Source organism: Homo sapiens, chromosome 16, assembly GCF_000001405.40.
Source record: "Homo sapiens chromosome 16, GRCh38.p14 Primary Assembly".
NCBI lineage: Eukaryota > Metazoa > Chordata > Mammalia > Primates > Hominidae > Homo > Homo sapiens.
The window spans coordinates 6,909,145-6,922,413 of NC_000016.10; the positions used below are offsets into that span (position 1 = coordinate 6,909,145).

At 43.8% G+C, this 13,269-nt stretch overlaps 1 protein-coding gene across 30 annotated transcripts in view, besides 1 other annotated feature; it reads left to right on the plus strand.

Moving 5' to 3' along the window:
- RBFOX1 (RNA binding fox-1 homolog 1) overlaps positions 1-13,269 on the plus strand; it is a 2,473,620-nt gene that overhangs the window by 1,669,424 nt on the left and 790,927 nt on the right. The window lies entirely within an intron of this gene.
- Positions 3,941-4,441: an enhancer, noted in NCBI's record as "H3K4me1 hESC enhancer chr16:6963086-6963586 (GRCh37/hg19 assembly coordinates)". NCBI's record gives its function as "activates a minimal SCP1, AML or CMV promoter by ChIP-STARR-seq in naive H9 embryonic stem cells {active_cell/tissue: H9 hESC(naive)}" and the evidence as "EXISTENCE:reporter gene assay evidence [ECO:0000049][PMID:30033119]".

The following is a 13,269-nucleotide window of genomic DNA, read 5'->3' on the forward strand; positions in this document are numbered from 1 at the left end:
AACGTCAACAGTGTTGCATTTCTTCTGGAGGTTCTTTGGGAGAATGTAGTTTCCTCCCTTTGCCGGTTTCTAGAGGCCACCCAGATTACATGGCTCATGGCCCTTTTCATCTTCAAAGCCAGCATTGTGGCCTTCAGACTCCAGCCCTGGCTTCCAGCATCACATACCTCCTTCTCTGGTCTTCCTCTTGTAAGGAACTTTGTGATTACTTTGGGTCCACCTGGATAATCCTGGCAACTCTTCCATTTCAAGATCCTTTATTACATCTGCCAAGGTTCTTTTGCCAGGCAAGGTGACGTATTCACACCTTTCAGAGATTACGATGCAGGCATCTTTGGCATGAGACAAGATTCTGTCTATCACACTCTCTAAAGGCGTTCCACCTGTGTGATGGCTTTATCTCCAGCAAACATGCATTCATATTCAGGCTCAGCTACCTAGAAGCGAGGGACATGTAATCTCCCCAAGCCTGTTCTCTCTTTTACAAAATCAGACAAAGAAATTATCAAGTGAGGATAGAGAAGTCGGAATCCTATGTGCCTAACACGTGGTACATGCATGCTAAGTCGTGGCAGTCACAATGACTGTTGTTGGTTTCACTTTTTTTGGTGTTATTTTCTCCCGAGTGTGGTTCTTCCCTTATTACCTGCAGCCATCGGTCTTCTGTTGATCTAAAGCAAGGTGTGCAGTTGGGGGTGTCTGCTCGGACCACCCTCGTGTGACTGAATTTGCCTGCATATCGGTTCCTTTGCTAATTCTGTTCGGGCAGGATTTGCTTTTTTTTGCTTAGCAAACTTCATGAGCCATTTCTGATTTCCAATATTGCTCCTCAGGCAGATCTCTCTTGAAAGGTGTTGTTTGTTTGGTTTGTTTACCTCTTGTTCATTACTCTTACCTCTACAGGCTACAAGTCTCCTAGGAAGGGATATTGTGCCTGTACGTCCCACCCTGGACCACGGAAAACCTTGGTAGCGTGCAAAGAGATTGGGCATTCTAGCGGGGCTTTGATGGAACTCTAGGAAGTAGAAAAAGCAGACTCAAGCAGAAAATGGGAAAAGAGAAATCCTAAGAGGAGTCTCATGAGATGATTACTTCACATTTGCAGTTCAGGCATTTTCTCCATACTTCCAGAATCGTGTAGGGAGTTGGGCACAGAGAATCTTTTTAGGGGCAAAGAAAGTGAGTGTCTTTTCCACTCCCCGTCTCCACACCCATCTTCCTATTTCCCTTCCACACACACAAAGAGGAGAGCTTTAACTTTATCTCAGGAATTCTGTCCCCAGGTTCAATGCTGGAGTAAAATCAAGGACTTGGCTCTGTGCCTGAGTGGGTGATTCCCCACTTGTGTTAATCACTCAAACAACCTACATGCTTTTCCTTGTAGTTCTGGAGGTCAGAAGTCCAAAACGGCCCCTATTGGGGTAAAATCAAAGCCTCAGCAGGGCTGCATTTCTTCCGGAGGTTTTATGGGAGAAGGCAGTTTCCCATCTTTGTCAGTTTCTAGAGGCCACCTGGATTACGAGGCTCGTGGCCCTTCTCAGCTTCAAAGCCAGCAGTGTGACTCTAAAGCAACATCATTTCCTAAAGTAGCGGAGAGGAGGCCTGGGAAGATTACACAGCAAAACCATCAGATCCTACGTCTGAGAATGAGAAGGTTGTTTCCTTTTCAGTTGACTGGTATATCTAAGCTTATATCCAGAAGAATGCCTCCATTTCATGCTGGTCTTTATACCTTTGCCTTCCTTGCTAATCTCTGTTAGTAAAGAGGAAGGAGGGTCAGGTGCAGAGGCTCACACCTGTAATCCCAGCACTTTGGGAGGCCGAGACAGGCGGATCACTTGAGGTCAGGAGTTTGAGATAAGCCTGGTCAACGTGGTGAAACCCCGTCTCTACCAAAAATACAAAAATTAGCCGAGCGTGGTGGCAGGCACCTGTAATCCCAGCTACTCGGGAGGCTGAGGCAGGACAATCGCTGGAACCTGGGAAGTGGAAGTTGGAGTGAGCCGATAATCGCACCATTGCACTCCAACCTGGGCAACAAGAGTAAAATTGTGTCTCAAAAAAAAAAAAAAAAGCAAACTGAAGACTTGAACCTTGGGTAGTGCGTTAGTTTCCCAGGACTGCTATAACAAAGTTCCACAAACTAGGAGGCTTCGGCAACAGAAATGTTTTGCCTTACACTTGTGGAGGCCAGAAGTCCAAGATCAAGGTGTCAGGAGGGTTGGTTTCTTCTAAGGGCTGGGAGGAGGAATCTGTTCCATGCCCCTCCCTGTGGTTGCTGGCAACGCATGGTGCTGCTTGGGTTTTAACTCTGTCAGTGTGATCTCTGCCTTCACCTGCATGTGTTCTCCCCATAAGCATGTCTGTCTCCCTGTCCAAATTTCCCCTTTTTATGATGACATCAGTCATATTGAACTATGACCCATAATGACTTAATTTTGTTACCTCTGTAAAGACCCTGCTTCCAAATCACGTCTCACAGATCCTAAGGGGTTGGGCTTCAACATCTTTTGGTGGGAACAAAGTTCAATCCATAGCAGACAGGCAATTCTTTTTACCTGCTATTTAATAACACTTTTATTTGTATTGTGTTTATTTTACCATGCATACCTACAGCAAATAATTTTGTTTCCACTTATAGAAGAGATCTATTTTTTCTTCTTTTTCAGTAAATGAATTTACTTTTTAAAAATCTCAGTAAAGTGATTTTAAGAAAAGACGTTAACTATATCATAGTACAGGTGGTCTTCAGATGTGGCCAAATATAGAAGACACAGTGTAAGATTTGGGCAATACTTGGTTCACCAATCCTTTGAGGCTTGGGAGTAGAAAGAACAAGAATAAAGATGTTAAGTAGAGTAAGATGCATTCTTCAAAGATTCCTTTTTGTGGACCATTTCTTTGAGAGAGAAGTTTTCTTCCTGTGAATAAATATGCTGTTGCTTTTTTTAGCTCTATCATTTATACTTACTAGTATTTCAGAACTTTACGTTTGAGTTCTATTTTCATGCCATAAAGAATGAGGTAAATAATCTGAAACTTAAATTCCCACGTGGAGTAATTTCTCTAATGTGGAGTTTCTCAAACTTGAGGGTACGTCAGAAGCACCTGCTGGCATTGTTAAAATGAAGGTTGCTGTGCTCAGCCCCAGATTTTCTGACTGAATAGCTCTGGGGTGGAGCTCTGTAATTTACACTTCTAGCAAGTTCCCAGGTGATGTGGATCTCGGAGTGGGGACGGTACATTTTGCGAACCACGGGGCTACTGAAATGAGGTGTCTGTTCTCTGTGAGTAAAGATTTTTCAGGATCCTTTCCAGCCCTGCGGCTCAGATAGATCAGATTGAAGTATTCTGGGTGGGCTAAGATAACTAAACTAAAGACCTTCTGAGATTTAGGTTTAAATTCTTTTCTCTTTGTTTCTTTTACTTTTTCTTTCTTGCTTTCTTGCTTTCTTTTCTTGTGTGTGTGTGTTATTACTATTTTTTTTTTTTGCAAGGTCTCACTGTGTCATCCAGGCTGGAGTACAGTGGCATGATCATAGCTCACTGTAGCGCCCCAACCTCCTGGGCTCAAGCAAGCCTACTACCTCAGCCTACTGAGTAGCTGGGACTATAGGCACATGCCACCACACGTGCCCGCCTAATTTTTTTTTTTAAGACAGACTTTGTCCCACTGTGTTGCCCAGGCTAGACTCAAACTCCTGAGCTCAAGTGATCCTCTTGCCTTGACCTCCCAAAGTGCTGGGATTACAGGCATGAGCCACCAAGCCCAGCCTAGAGCTCCTTGTTTTTGGTCCTCAGGGGATCTTGGGCAATATCTCACCTCATCTGGCTGTTACCCAACACTGTGCTTTATATTCTACTTCCTATTTCTGCTGGGTGAGGATGGGCTTCTGATGGGTGGAAAAGAACTTGGAAAGGGCCCCAGGCAGGAAAACCATTATGGAAGCAACGTCTGTCCACCCACCAGGCCGCTGGGAGGCTGAAGAAGACACGTTTTTTTGTTTTGTTTTGTTTTTTTGTTTTTCCTGTGGGTTACTTGAAAAACATTTTTTTAAATGCAAAAACAGGGTATCGGAAATTATTATCTGTCCACCTATTTAACTGTTATAAAGTAGCACTTTTAATTCATTTCCATAATTACAGCCTGTGTCATGCTGTTCAAAAGATTCAACTGGGGATAAGGAGAATGGTCCCATTTTAACCCCCTTATGAGCGTGTTAGCTCAGGCCAAGAGCAGCTGCTGTCTCTTCCGGCAAGCCACGGCATTGTTTGAGAACATCTTTCCTCTCATATCCCCCACCAGACCCTGAGCATGTTGCCATCGGCCTTCTTCACACCCCCACAACCCTCGGCCCCATCATCTGCAGTGCCCGATGCCCAGCACTGAGCCCAGTGCCTGGTGTTCAGGGTGTCTTTTGAAGGAGAAGTTATAAGTCGGTAGCATCCCCAAGCTTTTCCCAGAGCAACTCAAGCCCTGAGGCCACCAGATTGTTTGGGCAGCAAGTTGGTCTCCTAGAAGCCCTTGGTAGACCTGGCTCCTTGCCTAGCTGGGCCAGGCTCTGTCCTCCCCTGCGTACCCTCCTAGCCAAGCGTCTGGGCAGCCAGCGGTTAAGTCCACTGTGGGAAGCTATTGAGTCTGAAACACACAGTGACAGCAGGCATGCTAAACTACTTCCCAGCCCTGCATGTGGCGTAATTGTATTTTCAGGGAGGGCCAATCTATTAGCAAGGTGCCAGTCTCAACTGTGTAACTTTTATAAAGCAAACACTAAAGGCCTCTTGGGGTGAAGGATATTATAATTATGGATGATTTATACTCCCCACCTCATGTATACATTGCACTTGATGAGAATGTTCTACTTGACGTAGCCAGAAACATTAAGCAAAAAATAGTGTTGCATTCTGGGTTAGAAACCCATCTTTTGTTTTATGTCTAATCTATCCAGTGCTAAAACATTTGGAATGATACCTCTGCATGCTGCTGTGAAGGAAATACGAACATAATGAGTGCATTTCTGATTTCAGACCAGATCATCATTTCCTTCTAAAATACCTCACTGAGTTTAGCATATTTATTCCTTGGTGGAATGTTTGCTGTGTATTGCAGTACGAAAGCAAAAGAAAATAATCATTATAATTATAATTTCCGGGCTAGGAGGGACCTTAGTGATATATCTAGTCCGGGGTGTCTGGGCTTAAATTACAGGGTCGGCTGATAAGTATTCTACTTTTCATGATTCAGAATCTACAAGTTAAAAGAGGAAGAGAGAAGAGAAAAGACAGTAGTAAAGGAGGTACTTTTGCATTAATAAGAACACAGACCTAGGTGTCTCACCTCCACCTCCTACCTGAGCCACCTTTGATAAGTGAGAATCTCTCTGGACATCAGTTTTCAGCTCCAGAAGAAAACAAAAATAAAAAAAAAAACCCAAAACAGGGATCAAGGCCAGGAGCAGTGGCTCACGCCTCTAATCGCAGCACTTTGGGAGGCTGAGGCAGGAGGATTGCTTGAGGCCACGAGTTCAAGATCAGCCTGGCCAACATAGCAAGATCCCATCTGTACCAATAAGCTGAAAATTAACCTGGCATGGTGGTGTGCACCTGTAGTCCCAGCTACTTTGAAGGCTGAAGCAAGGAGGCAGAAACAACAAGATCGCTGAAGCCCAGGAGTTCAAGGCTGCACTGAGCCAAGATCGCAACATTGTGTTCCAAGCTGGGCAACAGAGCAAGACCCTCTCAAAAACAAAACACAGATGGATAGGTTTGAGACAGCCCTCACTCACATAACTTTTAGAGAAGTAAATCGGATAGTGCCTGCGTACTATTATTATTACAGCACTATTGCCAGGCAGCAAGCAGGCCCAGGGTGGTGTAAGTCGGCTTTGCTCATCCGTAGATGAAGGATGCAGAACATTCCTCAGTTGACTAATGTGTGAACTGCACACTGAGAACTGGCCTGCGGTCCTCCAGCTAATCAGTGGCGGAGCCATGCTCTCCAGACTCGGGGTCAAGGCACTGGGGCTGAGCTGCTGCTTTCCCCAGGCTCCCGGAGACCCACTCCCTTGTTCTCCTAGCAGCTGGATGAAGCCTGTGGTCCTCAGCATTTCTACTAATTCCCTCCAAGAAGGGCCTGGGATTGTTTCCATTCTCTGTGTTGCGGACTAGGGAGCTAACTGCGGTTCCTTTCTGCAGGGAGGAAGCTTGCTCTACAGATTAGAAAGGAAACACGCAGCTTCCCAAGCATGTCACTTCTGAACTGTTTAATAAATCCACGTAGCCCGTTTTCTTATTTCCTTGATAACTTTTCAAAAATTATTCCTTAAACAAATGACTTCCTACTATAGCCTAAATCTAAAATCTAAACAATAACTATTTTTTCTAAGTCCTCACCCCCACACCCCCCTTTTTTTTTTTTTTTTTTGACACAGTGTCTTGCTCTGTCACCCAGGCTGGAGTGCAGTGCCATGATCTCAGGTCACTGCAACCTCTGCCTCTCGGGTTCAAGTGATCCTCCTGCCTCAGCCTTCAGAGTAGCTGTGAGTACAGGTGCGCACCACCATGCCTGACTAAATTTTTCTACTTTTTGTAGAGACAGGGTTTTGCCATGTTGCCCATGCTGCCCTCAAGCACCTGTACTCAGGTGATCTGCCTGCCCTGGCCTCGCAAAGTCCTGTAATTAGAGGTGTGAGCCGCTATGCCCAGCCTTCATTCCTTTTTATAGTTGAATAATTCTCCTGAAGTGGACATGTTCCGTGAAAGGGCCGTATTTGCAAAGTGGTCCCCAAATGCTGAAGTTGCTGAGAAACCAAAGTACAAGGCAGAAAAATCCAGTTTGACATTAAAAGCTGTTTTACTGGGAAAACTTAAAGACAGCTGTCTTGACTGGCAGGAAGACAGAGCTCCACACTGCTACTCCCCAGACCCAGGGCTTATATACCTTAGGGAAAGGGCATAAGCGCTGTGTACAAGACAACTGAAGGCAACCCTCCAGGAGAGGCAAGAATGATCAAAGTTGACACGTTGTTATGCTAAGGACTGGAAATAAAGTAGGAATCAGGAGGCATTCACGGAGCTGGGACTGATCAGAAGTCAATATGGCAGATTAGCATCCAAGATGGAGTCACTGTTGTTTCCACAGGATACCATAGTTTGTTCATCCGTTGATGGACAGTTGGGTTGTTTTTACCTTTTTGCTATTATGGCTAATGCTGCTTTGGACCTCTGTGCATGGGGTTTGGATGTAGGTTTTCATTTCTCTTGAATATATCCCTAGGTGTGGAATTGCTGGGTAATGTGGTCTAATACACCTTTGGTTAACGAAATAAATAGCATTTTAGTTGTTTTTTTTTTTTTAATTGTCATTCTACGACCATCTCCAGGACCATTAGTGGCACAGATACCACAGTTTAAGAAATCCCATAAATCATCGTGACCTACACACTTGTAAGGCCTTCCATCTTGCAACGCTATTGGCCGTTCTGGCTTGTGTTTTTCTGGATGGTCATCACGACCTTCCCAGGTCGTCCTTTTACCTCTCATTGGCCGCAGTTATGCCCATTCCTACTTAAAAACTCTTGCATAAGCTCGGATTACTTCCAGCTTTTTTCTACCACCCACTTAAACTTTTCCCATCTTTGAAGGCTGAGTTCAAACTTCGAAGTTTGAATTTGTACCTTGATCTTGTTTTTTTATTTGTTTGTTTTTGTTTTTTTGTGTGTATAAGATGGAGTCTCTCTCTGTTGCCCAGGCTAGAGTGCAGTGACATAATCTCGGCTCACTGCAACCTCCACCTTCCAGGTTCAAGCGGTTTTCCTGCCTCAGCCTCCCAAGTAGGTAGGATTACACATGCATGCCATCACATCAGGCTAATTTTGTATTTTTAGTAGAGATGGGTTTCACCATGTTGTTGGACAGGCTAGTCCTGAACTCATGATCTGAGGTTATCCACCTGCCTTGGCCTCCCAGAGTGCTGGGGTTACAGGTGTGAGCCACTGTACCCAGCCTGCAAATGATTTTGTCCACAGAGCAGACTGAGTTTCTGTTCTTAATTTGTATTTAAAATAGAAAATCTCAGTGGCCACCTTGGTCCCCGCTCTCACTGCAAAGAGTCTGTCCCAGCTACTGTTAGGGACTCATTTGTAACCAAACACTGAACAGAGGATGTCACAGTTAGTGACTAATCCCATCTGGTGAAATCAGTATATGGGATTGCACATGAAATGAAGAGTTTCTGAACTTGAGTGTAGCTCTATATCTTATAAAGAAATCTACAAGTGCTTTTGTCCTTGATGTGTTTCATTTGGGGAATACATCCATTTCTGTCTCCGCCTTCTTTAAACCTGAAAGGAAGAGAGTTGGTAGAAACACTCTGTCCAAAGGAAGATCAATGCTAACAATGTTCATTTTTCTAAGTGTCTCCTTCTTCTGAAATAAAAGTTAGGAAGCTCTGACACCGGCTCCCTTCCTGCCTTCTACACCGAAGTGGGAGTTAAGATGTTCCAGATACCATTTGCTGTTTTGAAGGAGGGTCTGTGTGCTGTGTGATGAGTAGACTCTTCCCCTTTGCTTCGATGGGAACCTCGGCATTCCAAGTGGACATATTTCATATCCTCAGGGCTTGTTCTCCTCCTCTGTGGATCTCAGTAGCAGACCTTCAGCTGCCTCTTAGAGAACAGGGCCCTGGGGGAGACATCATCCTTTGTCAGAAATCCTGGAAAAATACCAAGAAACTGACACAAGTCGAAAGAGGGACAATGGAGACCTGGGTATTATCCCTTTAGGGTGTTCTTACTCAACCTAAGTCTCAGGGTAGCCTACAGGAGAGCCACTTACGAATTTGTTAAAAATGTACATTTGTGGCCAGGTACATTAGCTCACGCCTGTAATCCCAGCACTTTGGGAGGTCGAGGCGGGTGGATCGCTTGAGGTCAGGAGTTCGAGACCAGCCTGGACAACATGGTGAAACCCCTGTCTCTACTAAAAATGCAGAAATTAGCTGGGTATGCTAGCCTGTAGTCCCAGCTACTAGAGAAGCTGAGGCAGGAGAATCACTTGAACCTGGGAGGTGGAGGTTGCAGTGAGCTGAGATTGTACCATTGCAATCCAGCCTGGGTGACAGAGCAAGACTCCATCTCAAAAAAAAAAAAAAAGGAAACACACATTTGGGGACTCCACCCCAGGCCTACCGAATCAGACCACTGGGCTTGGTGCCATTGTTTATGAATTTTTAACAAGCTACCCGGGTGATTCTGGGGCCCACTAATATTTTTGAACTGTAGCTATAGGAAGACTTCATACATGCAGAGTAAAACCATCTTAAATCCAATCAAATTAATTGTTAATTAAATTAATGTCTGCCTGGGCCCTAATTCATAACTTTCATGTTGCAATTCCCTCCTGATATCCAGAGGCATCATTTAAAGAATAAGTAACCAGGGACATAAAAATGAATTATTTATCTTACCCAAATCTCATACCCTTCTCAGTGAAAATGTGGTTGCTTGTCACTGAGTGTCCTACCCAATGGGCATATCTCTGGTCGTTTCAGAGAAAGAAATCATTCTCTGCCTTCCGAATGCAGACAACATGAAGCGGCAGTCTCACGTTGATATTATGGTTAATTAATCTTGGGCATAGGAGTATGCAGGAGCATTGAGCAGAAGCGCACTCGTTAATAAACAAGTATTTTCAGTGCAACACATTGCAGGCTTGGCCCTTACCTGATGTAACAGATGGAGGAGAAAGTGGGGGTGGGGAGGAAAGTGGCTGTGATCTAGTTACGCAGGGTCCTATTTCAAACACCATTTCTCCATTTAATAACAACAGCTAATGATTTTTGTTTGTTTGTTTTTGAGGCAGAGTGTTGCTCATTCATCCAGGCTGGAGTGCACAGGTAGGATCTCAGCTCACTGCAACCTCCGTTCTTGGGTTTAAGCCATTCTCCTGTCTCAGCCTACTGAGTAGCTGGGATTACAGGCACCTGCCATCGTGCCTGGCTAGTTTTTTGTATTGTTTTTTTGGAGATGGGGTTTCACCATGTTGGCCAGGCTGGTCTTGAACTCCTGACCTCAGGTGATCCGCCCGCCTCAGCTTCCCAAAGTGCTGGGCTGGGATTACAGGTGTGAGCCATGGCGCCTGGCCCAAGAGGTAATGTTTCTTGACCAATTCCTATTTATCCTGTTTACATGTATTAATTTCTCCAAATTAATTCCTCACAACAGCCCAGCAGTTTAGGTTCTCTTATTAGCTCCATTTTATAGACCAAAAAATAAAATAAAGCTCCCCCAAACTGGAACATAGAGGGTTTTTTTTTTTAAGTAAACTTCTCAGCATCACACACTAATAAAGAGTAGACCTGGGATTTGAACCATGAAATCCCAAGAGAGATCCAGAACCTACTCTCTTAGACATTTCTCCACTTCCTATGGCTTGAAATTTGTTTTAAAGGAAACCCTGGTATCTTCGAACAAGTATCTGGAAATTCCGTCCTTTTTGTTGATGGAGAGATAAAAATCCAGATTGAATCCAGATCCATAAGACATTGTCATCAGCACTGATATATTGTATGTTATAGATAAGGAGAAAAATTTCCAGGAGGCTGAGTGACCTGGCTAAGATCATTCTTTTTTTTTTTTTTTTTCATTATTATTATTTCAATAGTTCTGGGAGAACAAGTGGTTTTTGTTAAATGGTTAAGTTGCTGAGTGGTGATTTCTGAGATTTTGGTGCACCCATCACCTGAGCAGTGTACACTGTACCCAGTGTGTCATCTTTTATCCTTTACCCCCTCCCACTTTTCCCCTCTGAGTCCCCAAAGTCCATTACATCATTCTTGCCCCTTTGCATCCTCAAAGCTTAGCTCTCCCTTATAAGACGGAAAATATGATATTTGTTTTTCCGTTCCTGAGTTACTTCACTTAGAATAATGGCATCCAACTCCATCCAAGTTGCTGCATAGGCCATTATTTTGTTCCATTTTATGGCTGAGTCATATTCTATGGTGTAGGTGTATTTTCTTTATCCACTCATTGGTTGATGGGCATTGAGTTTGGTTCCTTATTTTTGCAATTGCAAATTGTGCTGCTATAAACATGGGTATGCACATGTGTTTTTTTATATGACTTCTTTCCTTTGGTAGATATCCAGTAGTGGGATTGCTGGATCAAACGGTAGTTCTGCTCTTAATGAAGTTCACTCCTGATATTGTCATGATACAATCTCTCTCTTCTGCATGAAACCAGAGTCCTTTCTACTGTTTCTCTTGCTTCCTCAGCTTATAAATGGCTTGTTTAAGTTGATACGAAAAAGTTAGATGTGTCCTAGACATTAAGGGAGCACCGAGTCCACAGAGGCTCTTGTAATTGCCAAGGGCTACCATAACAAATGACCAGCTAGTGGCAGGCTTGAAACAACAGAAATTTATTCCATTACTGTTTGGGGAATTAGAAGTCTGAAATCAAGATGTGGAGATATTAGCTCCTTCTGGAAGCTTTGAGGGAGAATACATTTCATACCTCTTCCCTAGTTTCTTTTGGTTCCAAGCAATCATTGGCACCCCTTGGCTTGTGGCTGCATCACTCCAGTCTTTACTTCATCTGCAGTGGGCTTTCCCTCTGTCTCTGTGTGTGTCTTCTCCTCCTCTTAGGAGAACATCCACCCTGAATCCAGGATGATTCCATCTTGAGATCCTTAACTTAGTTACACCACCTGCAAAAGCTTTATTTCCAAATAGGGTCACATTCACTGATATCAGGGATTAGGACTTGGACATAGGTTTTTGCAGGACACTATCTGGCTAGTCTGTAATGACTATCAGAGAATGGATTCTATAGTTACTGGATAAGTTTGCCCTTGTTTGACTGGAACACAGTATCTCAAGTGGTTGTGGTGAAGCCCACAGACTATGGGGCTCAGCAGGTGTTGGTTTGAGCTCCTGCACCATTCGTTAGCTTTGTGACCATTGATAAGTTTCCTAAACTCCCCCAGGCTGCCATCTCTTCATTTAGGAAATGGTGATATTCATCTTAACTAAATGCATGAGTTTTCTATTCTGTGTTACAAATTACCCACACACATTTAGCAATTTAAAACAGCACACATTTGTTTTCTCACAATGTCTATGGGTTAAAATTTTGATACAATTTAGCTGTGTCCTTTGTTCATGCTCTCACATGACTCCAGTGAACCTGTCAGGTGGGTTGTGTTCACATTTGGAGGCTCAAATGGGGATGGATATGCTTCGAAGATCACCCAGGTTGTTGGCACAATTTATTTCCTGTGACCGTAAGTCTGAGATTGGTGGATTCTTGCTGACTGTTGGCCATAAACCATGTTTACCTTCCAGAGGCTGCATTCAGCTTTCTGAGGTCACCCATAGTTCCTTCCTACATGGCCTTTGCCATAGGTCCTCTCATAACATGGCAGCTTGCTTCTTCAAGCAGTGGAGAAAGAATAATTTATGTATATACATAAATTACTGTATATATATATATATATATATTTTTTTTTTTCTTAGGGTTGCTTTCAATCAATAGACAGTATGGCAGGCAGAGGTGATGGAAAGTTATACCGTGATAATGTTCATATATATGAGCATATGTATGTGTGTGTGTATATATATGAAGATGTATGTTGTATATGCACACACACATGAACATAATCACCATGTAACTTTCCATCACTTCTGCTGCATTCTGTTGGTTGGAAGCAAGTCCCAGGTCTACCCATAATGAAGAGGAGGAGATTATGCAAGGGTGAGAACACAGGAAGTCAGGGATCATTGGCAGTCACCTTAGCTTCTGCACACCACTGAAATATTGTATGAATTAGAATATACACAGAACTAGCACAATGCCTAACACCTTGTGGCTATTTAATGTATATAACTGCTGTTACCAACTGGCAGCTGGTATTACTATTCAGGTTAATCACTGCCCAGATTTTAGCATCTACAACTTTCTTCACACAGGCTGTTCCCTGTGCAACTTCAGGAGCACCTTACACACAGGGGAGGATGTGAAATGGATCCTGGGGGGTAGGTGCAATTCAGTGGTTCTTGCTACAATGGAGAGGTCTGAGGCATTGGCATCGATCTCAGAAAGACCTGAGCATCCTACATTGATATAAACTGTAACTTATTCAGATATTGGAAAGCACTGGTTTTCAGTTCCGAGTGTCCGGTGGTAATGGCAAGTTTCGCATGCTGCAGCCCCTTGCAAGCCCACTAAAGAACATCTGCCACCCGGCACAGCAGTGGCTGCTGGTTTT